The sequence below is a fragment of the Homo sapiens genome, chromosome 8 (assembly GCF_000001405.40).
Source record: "Homo sapiens chromosome 8, GRCh38.p14 Primary Assembly".
NCBI lineage: Eukaryota > Metazoa > Chordata > Mammalia > Primates > Hominidae > Homo > Homo sapiens.
This window is the reverse complement of record NC_000008.11, coordinates 15,628,379-15,650,252: the sequence shown is the minus strand read 5'-3', so window position 1 is coordinate 15,650,252 and position 21,874 is coordinate 15,628,379. Positions and strand designations below refer to the sequence as shown.

The 21,874-nt window shown below is 37.1% G+C and overlaps 1 protein-coding gene across 35 annotated transcripts in view; it reads right to left on the bottom strand.

Annotated features, from left to right (window-relative positions):
- The window catches only part of TUSC3 (tumor suppressor candidate 3), a 434,904-nt gene that overhangs the window by 201,839 nt on the left and 211,191 nt on the right, over positions 1–21,874 (bottom strand). The window lies entirely within an intron of this gene.

The following is a 21,874-nucleotide window of genomic DNA, read 5'->3' as shown; positions in this document are numbered from 1 at the left end:
CAACTTAGTTTAACAGAAAAACAAAATTAATAGTTTTAAAATTTTAAATACTTATACTCCACCTTATTCATTCCATTTATCTCAAAATGCATTTACATTCAAACCAACAGTAAGCAAAGATTTCTCTTTGTAGCTAAACCAGATGCCACAAACATTCCTTCTCTAAGATGATATTTGTTTCTACTTTGAACACATTTTTATTAGATATTTTGCTAATTTTCCAGATGATAAAACTTTATGTAGGAACAGAGAAGAAACAGAAAAATGGCATTTATAGGAGGATGTAAATGCAGTAATAGAAATAAGAAGCAACAAGTTATTGCTAAAACATTTTTAAAAAATAAAATTGCTTCTTCAGTATGGTTGACTGTTCTCTAGAGTTTATCTCCCCCCTCTCCCCAAAATGAAAATAAAGAAATAAAAAGGTACAACCTAACAATAACAAAAGGACTTGGAGCAGAGTCAGCAGCAGAAAGAGTTCCACAAATATCTGAAAAACAGAAAGCTGGTGAAAAGTTTTGAGAGGAAGTTAGACTCTCAAAGGAGATTGCAGTGCAATAAGAAGCTAGAAAAACATTAGATTCAGAAGCAGCAGAGGCTGGAGATTTAAAAAAAACATGAAGCTAAAAACAGATGTCATAATTAAACTTTTTTTTTTTTTTTTCTTTTGAGACGGAGTCTTGCTCTGTCGCCCAGGCTGGAGTGCAGTGGCGCGATCTCGGCTCACTGCAAGCTCCGCCTCCCAGGATCATGCCATTCTCCTGCCTCAGCCTCCCAAGCAGCTGGGACTACAGGCGCCCGCCACCAAGCCCGGCTAATTTTTTCTATTTTTAGTAGAGACGGGGTTTCACCGTGTTAGCCAGGATGGTCTCGATCTCCTGACCTCGTGATCTGCCCGCCTCGGCCTCCCAAAGTGCTGGGATTACAGGCGTGAGCCACCGCGCCCGGCTAAACTTCTTAATACTCAATAGTAGACCAAACTTCTGCACCCTCCCGAACCAGTCCCAATGTTAGCCTTCATCCCCACCGCAACGAAAAAAAACATGTATTTGAGGAAAACCTTATGTGATTTCTTAAAAACTTCCCAAAACAAACAGACTCTAAAAGAACGATCAGAAAACATGAAAATGGAAGTGTAACTGTAACTAACATACTTATAAAAATTCTGTCAGAAAAGATATTGTATTTATCAAGAACTGTGCAGGATCTGAGATTTTACCACATATATAATGCAAGCTAACGACCTAGCCTGTTACTGTTTCATGGATGCTGGCAGAAGACATGAGACTCCTGGGTCAGAGAAAAGGGACTTTATTAGTTCATTTTCATTTTCATTAGTTCTCTATCCCCCAAGTCTCACACGGTAACACAAAGGGCTCTTCATGGACTCCTGCACATACAGGTGACTGTTACAGGAGAGAAACACCGGGTTTAAAGGAATTATTGTTTTTATGGTACGTGATAACAAGATGATGCTTTGTTCAACAGGAGATGTCTTTTTTTTTTTTTTTTTTTTTTTTTTTTTTTGACACAGAGTCTTGCTCTGTCACCCAGGCTGGAGTGCAACGGCGCGATCTCGGCTCACTGCAAGCTCCGCCTCCTGGGTTGACGCCATTCTCCTGCCTCAGCCTCCCGAGTAGCTGGGACTACAGGCGTGTGCCACCTCGCCCAGATAATTTTTTGTATTTTTAGTAGAAACAGGGTTTCACCGTCTTAGCCAGGATGGTCTCGATCTCCTGACCTCGTGATCCGCCCGCCTCAGCCTCTCAAAGTGCTGGGATTACAGGCGTGAGCCACTGCGCCCAGCCAACGTCTTATTCTTTAAGGCTTGTCACTGCACATACAACCCTCAGAGTCTGCCCGCGTCTAGTCAGGCCTTTGTATTCTCGACATACCCAGTGAGAACATGCAGACTGCTTTGTTCATGGGTATTCACGGAAGGAAAAAACAAAAACAATATCATATAAAAAAGGAATAAAGATAGTAAAAGAGAGAGCACTTATATAGATTTCGAATATGACTGCCCAAATAAAACACCAATGTTAGAAGACAGAGTCGAATAAAATTCACAGAACAAAAACAACATAGGTGGAATGTATGACAGAATGAGAAGGACCTAGAGTCCAGTAAGTCCTTTTTCAAACAGGCATCACAGAAATAGAGGAGAGGTGAAACAGAGAAAATGGTATTTCTGTAAACAATACAATTAAAGGAGATTAAGTCTTCAAATTAAAATCATTTCCCAGTTCTGAATAAGAGGAATGAGAAAAGAACAACCTGGAGAGATACTGGGATATATCAAAACACTATGGATAAAAAGAAGATCCTAAAAGTTCTCAGAGAAAAAAGTTTCCTAAACAAGTGCAATCAATGAGATTGGGAATGGACTGATCATTAGCAACACTAGATACCGACAAATAGAAGAATTCCTTCAGAATATTATTTTCTATTTAAAATTGCACGTTGAGACAAATAATCAAGTTTGAAATAAACATGTTCATGGAAATGTAAGGAATCTGAAATTAGACCCCAAATTCTCAGAAAATTACCTTAAAATATAACTGATAGAAAAGGTAGTGTGAATGAAAAACTAAGAAAACTTAAGACTATGATAGAGCACTGTAAGAGAGGAAAAAAGGCAACTAGAAATGCAGTGAGTGAGGTAGCACGGAGAGAAGACGTAAAGAAGCTGTAGTCTGTGAAGCTATGATGCAACCAATACAAACTAGAACAGGAATTTTAGACTTCGAGATGAAAAGAATAGATTCTAAGTAATCATTAAAATCAGAAACAGCTAGAACATATTAAATCTATAGTAAGAAAACCGTATTTATTCCAACAGGAAAAATAAAAACAAAAAAATGAACATAAGAGACAAGGTTCAAATATGCAGCTTATTAAAATGTATCATAATTTTGATGAACTGGTGATTAGAAAGATTATTTAAATATATTCTTTTGAGCGGGTCAGGGGTTATCAACAATGGCACTGTAGAAAAGGAATCATAATGATAACCTACTACTTTGCCATTGATGCTACTTATGCAGAAATAATAATGTAAATGCTGTTTATTCCCTTTTAACTTTCTAAATCAACCTATAAACAGAACTCAAATGTAATAATTATGGTTACAGTATGGAATGTACATATTATGAACTATGACAATATAGAACGATAGCCAACAGAATTTGGTATGTAAAAGAGAAGAAGAAGAGGTGATGGGGAAGAAGATGTCTGCTCATCTTCATATCACAATGCGGGAATCAAAAAACATCAGCCATAGGTAATGAACAAAAAACACAAAGATGTTATTTAGTGTTACAGTGATAAACAAAAGAATAAACAAAAAGCAATGAAAGGTGAGATGAGTTAAATCTATACCTATCATAACAAGAATGTAAAGATAAGTTTACTGTATAAAATGTTGTTACAAGAATAACATTTACAGCTATTTTTTAAAAACAACAGAAGAAAAAAATTACAAAGCAGAAACATTCTCTGGTAGGATCATCTCTGGCCTAGCCTACCTGTGTGCAAATCAGATGAGTGCAAGGGCCTCTTCTGCAGTTCTTTTTTATAAACAAGAAGCACATAACATTGTTTTGATTAAAATATTATGTTTTAAGAGGGTTAAATATGAACAGTACTATAATCTAAAAACTTTTAACATAATACAAGTATTGAATACTAAAATGTAATTTAAAAAAATTAAAAAATAAAAAGTGATAAAGTAATGGGGAGTCAAAGAGCATGAATTCAATTTGCCTTCAAACTCTGTATTCCATATTACTCTACTTTTTCAGATTTAATGTCCCAATAACCAATTTGTAGATTCTAGCCTCTATTCTAAAGTCCAAAAATGTTCCCCACTACGTACATAATGAAGATAATGGGAAGAATAAAAGTCAAAAACCTCCATAACTTGGCCACAACTTACATAATCTATGTCTTTATAAAAATACCACACTCAAATAGTCTGTGTTTCACGAACATACTATGTCCATTCTTAACCACGTGCATGAAATACTTCACTTAGAATGTCCTCCCTTCTTTCAGAAGCTTGCTCAAAAACTGCCTCTCTTTAGGAAGTCACTTCAAATCACTATACTTACAATGCTTGCTGATGGAAATGTCTGAAACAGAAATTCTCAGCGACTGTGTAGCACTACTGATTTTATGCATAGCTGTTCTTATTACATATTGATTGTCCAATGGCTAGGATCTAGTACAGAAGTGGCATTTAATAAAGGTATAATGATACTGATGATGAATAATATAGTTTCATAGCCAGCCACTATATCATAAATACCCTTAAGCTAAGTTTACCACATTAGAATTTCTGAATTCTAGAGAGTCTACAACTCATTTAGTCAGATTTATGTCACTGGATAATGTCTCTTTTAAGGCAGATTTCCTTTACTTTAGTTATGGTGTTGAGGGGAAGAAAAAATGAAATTTTACATCTGTGTACTATCACAAACATATGCTGTTTGTCAAAGGAATAGTGTTCATGACTCAAAGGTTACAATGACTAAATCATCATGTGATATCCTATTAGTAATGACAATTTCATAACAAATGTTGAATCCAGATCTTAATCATCAGTGAAATTTATACTCAACATTTTCATATGTACTGCAATAATAAAGAAGTATACCTCACAGTCTCCACTTTTAAGAGGTTAAAGAATAGATAAGCACTCTAGTACATAAATAAGGTATACATATTTTAAAGAGGAATGTAGACTGTAGGTGCTATACAGCATACAGAGGATGAGATAATAGTGAGCTGGAACAGTTCGACAAAGTATGAATGTAAAAAAAAATTGGAAAATAATGGTGGTATGTCTGGAAGGACTGCACTTACAACAAGCAAGGACAGGGAGAGAAAAGTAAGGTAATAGAAACAGTATAAACAAAGACTACCCTGTCTGGAATGTGTATTCTGTGTTCAAGTAATAGAATGTAAGCTTCAGGGTAGAAAATAAACTCTGGAAGTGGTAGAAACATAAATAGGACCCAGCTTTTATTGTGTAAATAGTAAACAAGTGTTTCTGAAGTAAGTAGATTATGCAAAATACTATTTGAGAATGCTGTATCTCACAACAATATGCATGATATATTGGAGGAGAAGAAAATGAAGGTTTGGAACCCACTTTCAATGTTACTCTAATGGTCTGGCTGGGAAAACATATGAGACTATTAAAATATTATGTAAATGAAGATGTGACCTATTTCACATAAATTCTCCATTGCAACCTGGCAAGCCATAACATCCAGCAAAATTTTGTAGACAATATACTTAGGGATAGCTCTGGCTAGAATAAAGAATTCCACAGAAGCTAAAGCAAATCACATTTTCTTGACTCAAATACAATACTTGGGGAAAATTTAATAATGACAAGGCAAATGGGGGCTTTTTTCTGCTGAGTGTAATTCAGTAGAAACAGGGTCAGTAAACAGATCTGTATATCATTAAAAATAAATAAATGAGCCCGAGGAATACGTATTTTAATATTAATGATATCTCTTCAGAGTACAAAAGATTCATTAGAAAAAAAAAATGTGCCCCAATAACAAAGACCCTATGCATACTTACCCCCATTATCCCTTATGCGCCCTCCATATCCCAACTTCTTAACGTTTAATAGGGGACAGAGAAAACCTAACTAATGACAGATAAAGAAATTCAGAGGATCCTTGAATATGTTTCTGTCAGCTTGGACTGATGAGCAAAATGAGACATTACGAAAGCTTATTAGCACACTTCTGACCTCACTACCATCTGAAATGGCAAGTTAAAATCCACAAATACTCCAAGCACTTAACTAAAATGACTACATTTCCAACACTATTAACTGAAAAATATTTTGTTGTAGTAGTTCATAGTAATAGTAAAGGCCTAACTTCATGAATGTAGTGAACGCCATAAATTCTAATATATACTTATGCAGCCTGAAGAGGGCAGTCACGCTGCGTCAAAAGGATCCAGGAAGGCTTAGGCAATAACTGCAGGGCACTGTTCTGTTAAATGTGTTATAGTAAATCTTCTCCATATTTTATTATGGGGAAAAAAATCACTTAATCTAAATGCTACAATCTTTTATGTTATAATGCTTTTTAAAAGGTTATGTAAAACTAAAAAGAATTATATCATCTACAGTTCTACATATTTATTTCCCATGATGAATATAATTTTTAAAGAGATGTTTTAAGAAGTATAGCTTCTCTTTTTAATGTTAATCAAACTTCTTATAGCAGATTCGTATGAAAATACCATTGTATGTCTTTACAGTTATATACGTAAAATGAATTGTACTTATGCCATAATAAAACCCCAAATAAAAAAATTCTATAGACAGTGATACACAAAGATCTGGAGCGAGCACACTCACCTATTACTTAAGGTTCTGGTCCTCGAGAAGAAAAAAACAACTGATAAACAACACCCTGCACAAAGACTTCTAACACAGTTGCTCCTCTGGTTGCGCTATACATATCAGGGCCCAGCTGAATTCACTGAAATATATTAAGTAGACCTAAGGCCTCTGAAGAGCTGAGAAATCAACAGTTCACTACCATATTGTAATTGACTGAATAATTCACTAGATGTAAGATAAAGAGGTTGTGTTTCTTAAAGCTGTTCCCTGTGCATCCATTTTCTTCATCAGACCTAAGTAGATCTTTCCTTGGAAAACAATTCTAACATATGTGATCCAAATACATATTTTAAAGCAAAACTGTATATGAACATAAAATATGTTGAAGTGTATACAATACGCAGAGTTAGCACTCAGTTTTTGAAAGTCAAAGAAATTTTGGTTCTCCTTAAAAAAAAAAAAACAACTAACAGTAACATATTAATGCTTAAATGTGGTATGCCAAGAAGAATGTCACACAATGTAGTAAGGAAATCATTTAACGCATTGTTCGTTTAACAAGTTTTCTTACTGTATTAGTCCATTCTCATGCTGCTAATAAAGACATACCCAAGACAGCGTAATTTACAAAGAAAGAGGTTTAACTGACTCACAGTTCAGCACAGCTGGGGAGGCCTCAGTAAACATGATCATGGCGGAAGGCAAAAGGGAAGCAAGGCACCTTCTTCACAAGGCGGCAGGAAGAAGGAGTGCCAAGCAAAGGCGGAAAAGCCCCTTATAAAGCCATCAGGTCATGTGAGGACTCACTCACTATCATCAGAACAACATGGGTCCCTCCCAAAACACATAGGGATTATGGGAACAATTCAAAGTGACATTTGTGTGGGGACACAGTCAAGCCGTATCATTTACCTACTACATATGATTATAATATGTATTTAATATTTGTGCAACTAATAATAAAGAATTAGCAAATAAATGAATAAATGGGTGAATTAATTCAATGTTTGGAAGAGGTAAGACATACAGGCCACTGCCTCAAGATACTTCAATCCATTATAACACTTATAATCTTAAATAATAAAAACAAAACAACAAAGCAATGTAAACCTTGTTTATGATAACATGCCCAGGAACTATCATGATACTCAAAAAATATCTGTTAAGTAAATTCATATATATATATTGCAAAACCTGAGAAGTCAAAATGAGGAAAGCGTTAACTCACATCTTAAATCCTGCAGGATTTCCCAGTAAGTCTATTCTTCAGCTTCATGTGGTAAAGAACAGAATATACGCAGACTTTAAAGACCTTTATTGTAATGAATCAAAAAGGTAGACACAAGATTACAGAAACTGTGTCCCAAGAGATGGAGATTATGTCTTTTCTAGTCAACTGATAGTATTGCCGTCACAAGAAACATTCATGGAGATTTAGTGTATGCCAGGAACCCTTTCGTATATTTATTCATATTTATCTTCATTTTTTTAACTTTTCTCATCAAACTTATTTTTAATAGACTATTTTTAGAGGAGTTTTAGATTCTCAACAAAATTGAATAAAAAGCATAGAGATTCACATACTATTCTTAAATAATTCTTGAACTACTGATTAACCAGTTAACTATCTGAGTATATGCATTATATATTGTATAGAGAGAGATCTATCTTGTGATACTACAAAATTCCATGACAAGCAACTATTCTACCCAGTAATATTGTTCCAAACATCTCTAATTTTGTTAATGAACTGGCAGACTACCATAGGAATATCTTATGCTAAACACTGAAGAAATGTTCTTGGACTATTCTTTTCCCCCAGCTTCAATGAGGTATAACTGGTATATTAAAAAGCCCACACGATTAATGTATATAATGGGTACAATTTGGTGAGTGTAGACATATGTACACATTCATGTTACCACCACCACAGTCAAGTTAATAAACATTTCCATCACTTCCAAAAGTTTCCTTGCGTCTCTTTTTGTCTGGTTTTCATTTTTGGCAAGGCCTTTAGATACATATAAAATAACCATAATACTTTTATCATGACTTCCAAACAATGTAACACTACACCTATTATTATGATGTGGCCAAGTAGAAAGAACATAGGTAACACATGAATTTTGAAAATCTGTACTTGTGGACTGGCTTTCAACTTTGTAATGTATAAACTTGAGAAAGCCACAAATACTTTATTTTCCCCTTTTTAGCATGACAATACTAGTAATTTCTCTCTCAACAGTTGTCATGAGGTTAAAAACATGAGGCATAACGAAGTCTCTAGTAAATGGCAAAGGAGTATGCAAACCTTGGGGTACCCACCATCTAGCTTAAAATTCATTGACTATTTGCATTTTCAGACCTTACTTCTAGTGTCTTCCCCTCTCACTCTCTGCACCAGACCCAAATTTTAATTTCCTTTGATAAACTAGGCTTACTCTTGATATAGGATTTCTGTGAAATTCCTTCCTTCTTCTCAATGCAACTTTTCTTTTTTTTTTTTTTTTTTGAGACGGAGTCTCTCTCTCTGTCGCCAGGCCGGAGTGCAGTGGCACAATCTTGGCTCACTGCAACCTCCACCTCCCTGGTTCAAGTGATTCTCCTGCCTCAGCCTCCCGAGTAGGTGGGACTACAGGCGAGTGCCACCGCGCCCAGCTAATTTTCTCTATTTCTGGTAGAGACAGGGGTTTCACCATGTTGGCCAGGATGGTCTCGATCTCTTGACCTAATGATCTGCCCACCTCGGCCTCCCAAAGTGCTGGGATTACAGGTGTGAGCCACCGCGCCCGGCCTCAACCTAGCTTTTCTATAGCTACAGAGCACACATGGCACACAATACATATAACACACTCAGTATACATGGCAAAGAGGTATGTCTAGTACATGGGAGCAGATAAACATGCCTCATGAATTCCTAGTCTTCGTGTATAACTTAACACTGCAATTTATCACTCCCTTAAATAAACCTTTTTGAACACACAGATTAACAGGAAAAACCAGGATCCTCTCATAAATCTCTGTGCTTTTCCTTCATGACATTTACGAACTAGACTCTGAGATAATGAGAGCAGCAGCCAGGTCAGTTTGTTCACCATCATCTCCCCTTGGATCCAGGAGAGAATTTATACACAGTGACCATTCAATAAAAATTGGTTCAAAAATATATGCCAGTATCAATATAATAGCACCATACTAGTATCCAGTTCCACGACAAAAAGCCACAAATTTATAAAATGAGGTTTCTTTTTGTCCCTAGTTCTATTTAAGATTCTTTAGGGGCAGGGGAGGCTTATTCTACAGATCTGAAAAACTAAATAAAAACTAAAATGAATATTAAATATATAACTTCTTGCCAAGACCAGGAGAAAACATTTCAGAATTATTAAAAGGTTGTGTGTTGGGCGTCCCCAGTACCATCACCACGTTTGGTGATTCACTAAGAAGACTCAGAGGAATCAGCACATGGTCACATTCATGGTTGAGATTTACTACAGAGAAAGGACACAAAGCAAAATCAGCAGAGGGAAAAGGCACACGGTGCAGTCTGAAGTGAACCAGATAAGTTTCCAACAGTGACTCCCTGTCAGGTCACACAGGATCAATTCCGTTGTGACACGTGTAAAGTGTTTCTACCAGGGAGGTTCATTACAGATTCAGTGCCCAAGAAGGTTGGTCATGTAGATGCCCTCTGCATGGTAGGTGGCAAAATTCCAAACTTACACAAAAAAAGCAGGTGTTCAGCATTAACCACATTGTTTGTAAACAGTTCAGGGACAGTGAACCACCCTTCTCAGCTAAGTAATGGTGGAAAAATTCCCAAAATCCAAGTTCCCATATGGCAAGCAAGGGCCACACTTGGGAGCTCCCCTTTCTAACGATAACAATCTCAGGCCTGCTATGTTAACTCTCTTCTGCATGGGCACATGATAATCACTGTCTTCTGATAAATAAAAAGAATATTATTTTGTTCACTGTATTATGGTGACAAAGACAACAACCTATCACAAGAAAGGACTATATCTGAAGTGGTTTTACTCATATTGACTGACTGTACTAAGTCATCCTCATGGGTCCAAAAAAAAAAAAAACGACTCTTATGCATCTAAGAGAAATTATTTGAGGACTAAGGTCTGAGACCATGAAAATTAGTAAATCTCATTTAATATGTTAAATGACTAACATAAACTAAAATCATTGAAACCAAGAATAAATGCTTAAAAATAATACAAAGATGAATTGTAATTTATGACTTTATATAATAGTTGCAGCTTTAGATATAAAAATGCAGAAAGTTTTATCTTTAAATGCTTAAAAGCAGCTATCAAGATTAGAGTTTTAAAAGTCATTTTTTCATTTATTTCAGTTATAACCTATATAAATAAAGCATTTTTAGAGAAATAAAGCACCGTTTTGTATGATCTTTACTCCTGTAGCTGTCTATCAAGAAACTTTTCAATGAGTTTTTCATCAATATGAAAAAATTCTCATTCATTTCATTCAATAAAATCCCACTAAGCACACAGAAAGTCCAAAGCCCTGAACATCACGTGATCTAGCATCAACACATGATCATCATCACTGAAGCTCTGAACATCATGTGATCTAGCATCGACACATGATCATCACTGAAGCGCTGAACATCACGTGATCTAGCATCAACACATGATCATCATCACTGAAGCCCTGAACATCACGTGATCTAGCATCGACACATGATCATCACTGAAGCCCTGAACATCACGTGATCTAGCATCGACACATGATCATCATCACTGAAGCCCTGAACATCACGTGATCGAGCATCAGCACATGATCATCACTGGAGCCCTGAACATCACGTGATCTAGCATCGACACATGATCATCATCACTGAAGCCTTGAACATCACGTGATCTAGCATCGACACATGATCATCATCACTGAAGCTCTGAACATCACGTGATCTAGCATCAACACATGATCATCATCACTGAAGCCCTGAACATCACGTGATCTAGCATCAACACATGATCATAATCATCAGTGTAATGCTAGTATTTGTCCTCAGCCAGGTACAGTGGCTCAAGCCTGTAATCCCAGCACTTTGGGAGGCCAAGGCAGGTGGATCACTTGAGGTTGGGAGGTTGAGACCAGCCTGGCCAACATGGTGAAACCCTGTCTCTATTAAAAATACAAAAATTAGCCAGGCGTGGTACCACATGTCTGTAATCCCAGCTACTAAGGAGGCTGCAGCAGGGGAATCACTTGAACCCAGGAGGCGGAGAGGTTGCAGTGAGCAGAGATCATGCCACTGCACTCCAGCATGGGCAACAGAGTGAGACTCTTGTCTCCAAAAAAAAAAAAAAAAAAAAAAAAGAAAAAAAGAAAAAAAAAGTTTGTCTTCAAAGAACTTCCTTCTGTGTGGTCAGATTCCAATTTCTCCTACAAAGATTAAAACTATACGCGACAATTACTGAGTTCCTGTAGGATAATGATAACCAACAAAGAACTCCAAAAACCATGTAGTTCTCCAAAAAGCATAATCAAAACTACTAATGCCAGTACAGTAACTGGGATAAAAAGAATCCTACAGAATATAAATGTAAATGGAAGTGAGGAAATTAACATTTATAACTTCAGTAATCCATGCAAGAACAGGAAGGTGGAGACTGTACAGGGAAAAAGGGGTACGAGGGATCCTAGCAGAGGCGAAATACGGGGGGCGGCGGGGGTGGGAATCACCCCAAGAAAGACAGAATCTCAGCTGAATTTGAAAACACTGAGAACAGGTCTATAACATGGTGGGCAAGAACAGTGGCTACTGTGGAACATAAAGAAAGGGGCTTGGAAGTACACAGGAACAAACATGGCAGTCTTAAGAATGCACCACTTTGTGGGGAGTGGGAAACAACTTAGAAGAAGCAGACATGCATTAGTGGGTTGGTGATAGAGTGAAACAGAGAAGCAGGTCATGAAAATTAAGGGACCTGTGGAAACATAAATTATTTCAGAATCAGAATATGCCACTGCAAGAAGGAGGAGAGAGGAAGAAATAGGAGGGAGGAAGAAGTGAGCGGGGGAGAAAAATAAGCTTGCTGAACTCGACCTATTTCACGTTATGAGCAGAAAGGGTACTTGAATTAAGAAATCAGTAGGCCACTCAAAAGTCTAGCCATCCCCACCCCACATATAAACTATGGTTTCTGGTCTGGTATAGGAAAGGGGTAAAAAAAAAGTTTTAAGAAGCAGCAAATGATCAACAGCATCTGTACAAGGCTACTACAAAAATAAATCAGAAAGAATAAAAATTCTTCAACTGATAAAAAATTTCCCTAAAAACAAAATCATGAAGAGAAAACTGAAACAAAATACTCCAACCTAAAGTAAATATCATTAAACAAGCAGTTGAAGACAGAAAATCTCAAATCAGAAATTAAACAACTAGAAATAGAAATAAAAAACAAAAGACGATATATCACAGTTAGTAAGACTCAGGAAACCAGTATGTTTCAAAAAAGCAAAACAGACAGAATCCACGCAGAAATGAAGTCTGTATTACAAAGTCTTCAAAGAAAAATGGAGTTGACTGAAAATAAATAAAGGACATTAAGAATAGGATTAAAAGCAGGTAAGAGAACAAAAACAAAATAAAAGTTTAAGAGGGAATGGGGTGGATTTTAAAATATTAAACATATGGAGAATTAGAGTCCCTGAAGTAGAAAAACAAAACAATGAAATAGAACTGGTATTTTAAACTACGATATAATAACATTTCTAAAAATAAAGTCCCTATATACATATTGAAGAGTTCTTTGTGTGCCTGAAAAAGGCAACCTAGAATAGTCAACTGTAAGACATAGTATAGCAGAATTATCAGACTTCAGTGAAAAAATTTAAAATATACTTTGGCCCACAAGGCAAAAAAACAAATCACATTCAAAGTAAGAAAACTGGATCGGCATCAGTATCTCACCAGCACCAAATAAAATTTCTTGGGACTATGTGAACAGACTACAAACACTCAATTTCCCCAGCAGTGAAAGAAAAACTGCTATCTCTTCAGACTTGACCCCAAAAAGGAGGCCCAACACCTTAATGAACTCTTTAGGCACTGAAATAAGTTAATCTCCCACTGGAACATTCGTCTTCATCATTTATATAGACTAGCCCACAAACCAGTGTCCTCTGAAAAGGAAACAATGCAACAGGCTGCACTGCAAATGTTCAGCAAACCACACCCCGTATCTTTGGGGACACACAAACCTAATGACTGCTTCCAACTACAGTCTCCATGACTGAGAATTCTGCTGACTAATGCCTACGGCAACATGAGTTGTCTTCCATGTACCAACGCCAGTTTGATTTCTGGATGGCAACTGCCTCACAAGACCACCAAGTACAAACAAATGCCTAATATCTCTATTCTGGGGTTGGTCTACTTGGATCTGATGACTAAGGTATTAAGCGTCCACCAGGCTTTCCTTGTGGAAATGGTATATTTAAGAGTGCAGCTGACCCTGGCCACCCATCAGTTTTACATTAAAAAAACAGCAGCTATCTCTTGTAGCAAACTTTATCCCTAACTCTGCCACCCAACTCAAAGTTAATGGCCCAGTGGAGCCCTCAATTCACAGAGGTTCCCTAAATGCCCAGGCCTGAGTAACTGATGATTCTGCTAAGTTGAAATCCGATTGTGCTTAACGGGCTGCTGTGGCTGCTTCCCCTCAGAAACAGCTGTGTAATACCAAAAACAGGCGTGGTTGTTCTGCTCAGTGGGCAGAACTCAAGGCAGTCCTCATAGTCCTGACCAAGACCCACTTTGACAAATCTTCCCACATTTGTACTGACTGTTGCCACTGGCCTAACCATATCATCTGCCACTTGGAAGACTACAGACTAAGAGATAAAGACACCGCTCTTTGAAACATCTATCTTTTGAACAACAAATCACACATGCGAACTAGTCACCAAGAGGTCACTTAACGTAGTCGCCCACAGTGAGGACCCATAATCTGACAAACCATCTGGAATCAAGCTGCTAATTAAACCTACACTTACCAGATCACCACCATTGCTACCTGGCTCCATTACTGTAAGTTCATGCAGAAGCTACAATGAATACTAGACTTGAGACTCTTATCAAACATTGGCCTGTTTACCTTGCAGGGCAGCAGCCATGCTAGTCAAGGCATCATACGCATCTGTTCTTAGCAAACTGACTTTAATGAGCCTTTGTTCTTTTGTCGGGGCTACCACTGGCACCTTACTACTATTACGACTCTCACTGTGAGAGTACAGTGTGTTAGAGTACATTGTGCTAGTTAACTGTAGCCATTCCATTGTGAATTTTTAAATTAAAATATGTCATTATTTCTGGCTCTCTGGACTATATTACAGTCTAATAATACTGTGCCTTTTGCCACAAAAGCCACCAAAACATAAGCCAATAGGTAAGGCATTCAGCAGTCATTCCATGTGCCCTAACATCTGCTAGCATCCAGCATTGTGACATGCATTTGAGCCACCTCAAAAATTAACATGAAAATATGTGTGACTCGACTTCCTCTCCTCTTTTTGTCCACACACCTTCACACGGCAGTTTGGTGACTAAACACATCTATCCCAAGAAAGAGTTCATCTCTTCTTGGCTGCTTCCTAAGAAATGATCAATACAAGAGATGTGGGCATTATTCAGATCTATTTTGAAAAATTTAAGATTCTGTCCTGACCATTCCCGGGCATAATGCTTCCTTTCCTTCCTTGACAGTTACCTTGAGGAAACTCAACCAATATATCCCCTGGGTGGCAGCCTACCTTTGGGGGGAAAAAAAAAAGGCTTAGGAAATTCAGATTTAATCTGGGTTCAGTCACTGAGTTCTCTTGTTTTACTGACATGGTCTTAGTTAATAAGGATAATGACCACTTGGCTGAGTGTACTTCACACTAAGCCCTCCTGCAGTGGCCTACGGAGGCCAAAGTGAAGGATGTAATCAGTCTCTATAAATTTCATTGAAATGCCCTTATATCTCTCATACTAAAACTCTCCAGACGAACATCTGATAATCTGGGTGTTAGTACGGGATAACTGGAGAAAAGGTGAAGTTACAGATACTCAGATGGAGACAATGATTTTATGAGGGTAAGCAAAAATTCTAGTATGTGAAGATGAAAATACAGATCCTAGGAGGTAGAGAGGGAGAGACAGTAAAATCTTTTGTCTTTGAGAACCACCTTTGAAGACTTCCTCACATGAAAAAACACACTGGTGCAGCTCTCTGAAACCATCAACTGCTGGATCTGCCATCTTCAACCAGTGGGGTCTGAACAAACTTTGTCATTCTTCTTAATCTTAAGACGGAATTTATGGAAGTGTTAATGGAAGACCCCAGCTTTCATGCAAAATATCAATTGCCCTTTCTCTCATGTTTCTCTCAGCCCCACTCCTGTGGCCATAGCTCAGTCTTTCTTAGGAGAGAACAAGGGATGGCCTGCTAGTGGCATAGTCAATAAAACAGATTGGAGTAACTAACTACTCCCTGCGGGTCTGTCTAGAATCGTGGACACAATGTATTCATCAAACTGAGTTGGAGGAACCAAAGTCTACCAGCCAGCCAAGAGGCTACACTGAAGGCACTGCCAACCTGGGTTTCTTAATGATGAAGGTCCCATTTGGAAGACCTCAATAATTGTAAGCAAAACTTCACAGGGGCACTACATACACTCCCCAGGGCTGGACTTCTCATGCAAAAGTTTAATACCATCTTGTCTTTGCTCCAATACCACATTAGGTATGATGAACTATACCAGGAATGGGTTGTAAGAGACCTTCAAGTGTTTATGGAAGTATACAGCCCTCGGATCACAGTAGAGATCTCTCTGAAATGAGGCTAGCCTTCAGATACCTGGGGGAGCTGACCCAGAGGGATATTTGACTTGTGTTTATGCATCCCTTGTGGGATGTTTTGTTTATGGTGAGAATCATCCAGTAGGTAAAAGGTGGTGTATCAGTTTCTCTGGGTGGCCATAACAAAGTATCACAAACTGGATGGCTTAAACAAAACAAAAAAAACCTCATAGTTCTGGAGGCTAGAAGTCTAAAATCAAGGTATGAGTAGGGCCATGCTCCCTCTTAAAACTGAAGGGGAGAATCTTTCCTTGCCTCTTCCTAGCTTCTGATGATGGCTGTCAATACCTGACATTCCCTGGCTTCCAGCTAAATTATTCCATTTCCCCACCTCTGCCATCAAAAGGCAATCTCCCTGTGTGTCTGTAACAATGCAATAAAATAGAATTTAGTAAAAAAATTGCCCTCTTTTGCTGATATGGCATCGGTCATATTGGATTAAAGGCCTGCCCTGCCTGAGTATCACCTCATCTTAACTAATTACATCTACAACTATCCTATTTCCAAATGAGGCCACAGTCTGGGCTACCTGGGGGTTAAGAATGCAGAATACCTTTTTGGAAAGAAACAATTCCACATATAACAGGAGGTAAGAAATTTATCACTAACTTTCACCGAAGTGATCAATAATACCACTTCAGCCTCAACTCACTGAGGCATTCACATCAGCTTCAACTCACTGAGTTGCTATGGATGAGAGAACTACCCTAGACGACTTCTTTGTGGACCAAGACAGATCCTGCTATACCTGTATTAATGTCTCAGGCCAAAGAGATAAAAGTATGGAATGAGGGAAAGAGAGAAGAAAACACGTAATGCTCTGCTACAATAATACGTATCTAACTGAAGTCATAATTTTAAAATACGTATACACATCTATATACACACACACATCCCCACAGAACCATATCCCTTAGCTCTACTAAAAAGGCCTCAAAGCAATAATACTACCTCAGCAGTAAAGCGTACACCTAGCTAAGTTTTTGCTTTCTAAATATCATTTCCTACGAAGAGGAACCAGGGCTCCTTGAAAAAAGTGCTGATTACAGTTCCACGGCAGAGAACATACAACGTAAGCTTAGAATATCTTGTACCAGAAAGTAGACTAAAGGAGATACACTATGATATAGGAGTTGGTTCCCACAGGTCAAATTTAGGACAATCTGAACATGAAGAAGAATAATCCTAGTAATGGATTAGGGAATGAAAAGAATCTTTGAGTTGGAATACTCAAAACAAAAGGTAAGTGAGGTTGGCAAACCTTGCCTTTACAGAAGAATGACAACTAATTAATGTAGAAGAAATCACTTAATTTGAAAATCTCCATTTCACAATCACTAATGTAATATCAAGTTCAGACAAACATTATAAATTAATACTACAAGTGCTGGGTAAAAAATTACTGAGAAACAGGATATTCAATTGATCTCCCTGTTTCCTTCCTCCCAAGCCACTTATCTCCCCAAATACTTAATAAAAGCAAAAAAAATTTCCCTGTACAATGGAGAGATCTGACAACCATCACCCTAATCAAGTGATTAATCTCAGCACTGGTATATGAACAAGCTAATATTATGGGCCTCCTGATAATATACAATAAGAAGTATTCCAACTAACTGCTATAGTACTCTTCCCTTGAATATAATCAGGAAGAAACAATCAGACAAATCCAGAGCATGGGACACTATAAAAGGCAAGTTGCTTGGATTCCTCAGGGAAAAAAAAAGTCACCATCATTAAAACAAATACTTTCTTGTTTAAGTGTGGAAACGTTATAGATTAAAAGAAAGAGGTGTAACAAATGTAACAGATGAACCTCAAATGGATCTCACATGGCATGGGGGTGCGGGAGTGAAATAAAAGACATTTTGGAGACAAATGCAAAATTTAAATATGAATTATATAGTAAGATTATATCACTGAACTAATATTAATTTACTTAAAAGTTATAATGGTGTTCTAATTATATAAGAATAGCCTTGGCCGGGTACGGTGGCTCACACCTGTAATCCCAGCACTTTGGGAGGCCAAGGCAGGCGGATCAGGAGGTCAGGAGTTCAAGACCAGCCTGGCCAACACGCTGAAACCCCATCTCTACTAAAAATACAAAAAAATTTAGCCAGGCATGGCGGCAGGTGCCTGTAGTCCCAGATACCTGAGAGGCTGAGGCAGGAGAATCGCTTGAACCCGTGAGGCAGAGGTTGTAGTGAGCCATGATCGCGCCACTGCACTCCAGCCTGGGTGACACAGCAAGACTGTGTCTTAAAAACAAAACAAAACACACACACACACACACACACACACACACACACACACACAACAGCCTTAAACTCAAGAGATGTATTACTGAAGTATTTAGGGACAATATTCATGATGTATGTAACTCATAGGTAGTTTTTTGCTAATATTTGACTGATTTCTTTTACCTATACTTAAAAGAGAGCAAAATGCAAAGTGGCAAAACATTACTAATTAGTGAATTTTGGTAAAGGGTAGCACAGGTGTCCACTGTACTAGTTTCAATTTTCTGTAAGCTTGAAATTAAAAAGATGAAGAGACTATAGCTGGACTTTAAAGGAAAAATTATAGAATATAGAAAAGAATTCAAGGAATGCTACAATGTCACATATATAATGAACGTTTGCTGTAAACAGTAAAAATGGTGGGATTATCCTATCTGAGGAAGAGACACCTAGGAAGAAAGTTAACACACTAAAGTTACGTCATATGCCTTCAATGTAAAAAATAAGAAAATTAAACTACATAGCTCAGCAGTAACTTGAGGGCATCATTTATACCAAACTGGTCATGGATTCACTCAAGCCTGAAAAATGTCTCACGTTAGCCAAACCAGAAAAAGAACATGTAAAAGGCATGACACTTCCCCAGTCTTGCAAAGAGGTGAAATACCTTGTTCAGGTAGCCAAGAAATTTAAGGAAACTTAAAAATTAAGGGCTATGAAGAAATATTATCAAAGGTAAGAGGAAATGATAAGGGTTGTAGTACCAAACCCCAAAAAAGTAATATACTTACAAGTGCTTTAAGTGATGTACAAGGGACCCAAGTTTACCTTATTTGTTAATTTCACACTCTAAACCCATGAGAGGTGTGACCTCTCTGTAAGGAAACAAAAGGGTGATAGGCTCTTTTCCACGTGATTTTAGCCAGCTGTATTCAATTCACCAGTCCCCATTATGAGACACATTCCTGAATAAAAGCTTTTCATGATCATACAAGTTTAGGATATGCTGGCGGAGAGATCACTGCCCTAAGACACTAATAATCTTGGTTAGGAACACAAAAGCAAGACACAATTACAGTTTACAGAATAGAGACAATAATGAATATGTGCACTTAAGGAAAGCATTAAATTCTAATAGCTCTGGAGTCACAAATCGCAACCCTGAACAGTTACTAGCTGTGTGACTTTGAAAAAATTATAACCTCTCAGCTTTAATATTCTCATTTATAAAACGAGTTTTGTTCATATCTAACTTTCACAATAATGAGAATCACATGACATAATATATATACTGTATATATAAAGGACTTAACATAGCGTCCCCAATAGTTTACACATAATAAACAAAAATTTTATTTTGTTGGGAGAGAATAAATGTTAGTTAATATGTAATGTATCAATGTAATGTTATTTATTCTTCTCAAAGTATTTTGTAATTTATCAATTCTTCATTTAACCGGAGTCCAATTATATATTAATCTCCAACACATCACCAAAACTTTGGTTATACAGGCAACCTGCTTGATTCTACATAAGTTCTTTATTTCCCTTCAACTGAATTTTCTTCTTAAATCTACTGATCCATAGTAACATCCTTCCATGAGGATATTTCGTACTTAGATTTTGTAATAAACCCTGGAAGAGATGAGTAACTTTGTAGGAGAATACATCTAAAAGAGTTAGCAATTATGAAGAATATTCCCCACAGTATAATTTGATTTAAAAAAAAAGTTTGGAGCTAACACTTAAGGGAGGTGAGAATTATATAGAGTAGTCTTAATTAACAACTTTATTTGGCCGAGGAGTTTGATGTTAGCACTGAGGGAGGTGAGAATTGAATTCCAAAATTTGTGAATAAACTGACTGTGTGAAGGAAGAGCAGAATTATCTGCTAAAAGGGCTTACAAGGAAGCCAAAAGCTCATTCACCAGCCTTTAAGCAAGGAAAATCAACTGAAGAATCTAAATGCAAGTTAACTCTAGAAGAAAATTTCGCTTTTTTTTTTTTTAAAGAAAAGAAAAAAGGCAAGTCTCACAAAGGAAAGTACTACGATTTTTAAATTCTAACTATGAACTTTTCAAAGATCCTAAACAATTATAAAGATTACGGCAGTGTTACAGAAGTGGTCCAAAAGTACACTGACACAGAAGGACCCAGGAGGAGTAATTCACGTGAAAAAAAAAAAAAAAAACAAGATGGCCGCAAATGACAGGGTCCCTTTCTCAGTGCATCTACAACTCCCTCTGATGCTTCATTTATTACTCAGAAATATAATTTGAATAATTTTTCTTGAAAAATATTTGTAGAAACTCCTCTTCACCTTTTCATCTTAGTTGTCACCTTGAAATCTCTTTGGTCCACTCTGCCCACTATCATATGGATTACAGAGCTCTCCTGGCTCAATAACAATAGACCTCAAGACCACTTCTCTACCACAATTACTTAACAGACGCCCCTTTGAAATTCATATCATCCTATAATATAAATTTTCATCCTCATCTACAAACTCCAAGGCATCCCTCTATAATCTCACTTTTTTCCTCTTCAGTTACCATACCATCCTAATATCAACATCTAATTTTATAATCTAGATATTACCACAGTCTCACAGTTCAAGCTTCTTTATACCATCGAAAATCATGTATATCACACTTCAGCAAGTTACTTATTAAATAAACCCTTTATGACAACTTGCTAATTTTCAACCCTATCCTACTTCTACACAAAACCTGTTCTTCACCCTTGTGGAAATCTAGCTTAACTGTATCACAACCAGTTTGTCAACTTTCCCTAGCTTCCTCTGACCCTCATCCAACTTTGCAACCATAGCTACATATTTCCCATATTCTCTCACCCGCACTTTCTACTCATTCTCCTAATCCACTTCACACCATGAAGAAAACAGGACCATTCCAAAGGAGCATGGTTCTTGCTACTAAATTGCTCAGTACTAGGAAAGAACATCATTTAATTCTACAGACTCTTCACTAAGAAGGTAGGTATTCTAGTTTCAAAAACGGTATCTCAATGCTACATGGTTATCCAATTAGTTAAGCCTTTCCATTTCCATTGCTTCTCAGTGAATAAAATACAAAAGCTACAAGTCATGAACCTGCTCCTCACCTTCCCTTTCTCTATACTGCTTTGCACAATAGATTTTAACTTTAACCTGTTCTTTCTTCTCTAACTATCCTACCCCGACACTGACCCATTAAATTTTCCAAGAACTTCAATCTCTTTCTCTTATAAATCCAAAACTCTTTTAAAATGCTAAGTTTCTTAAAATAGGCTATAATGAACAAATAAAAAGCAAATAAATGAAAAAAGTTGTTATAGGCTAGATGTCATTAAAAAATTAAGGGTCTG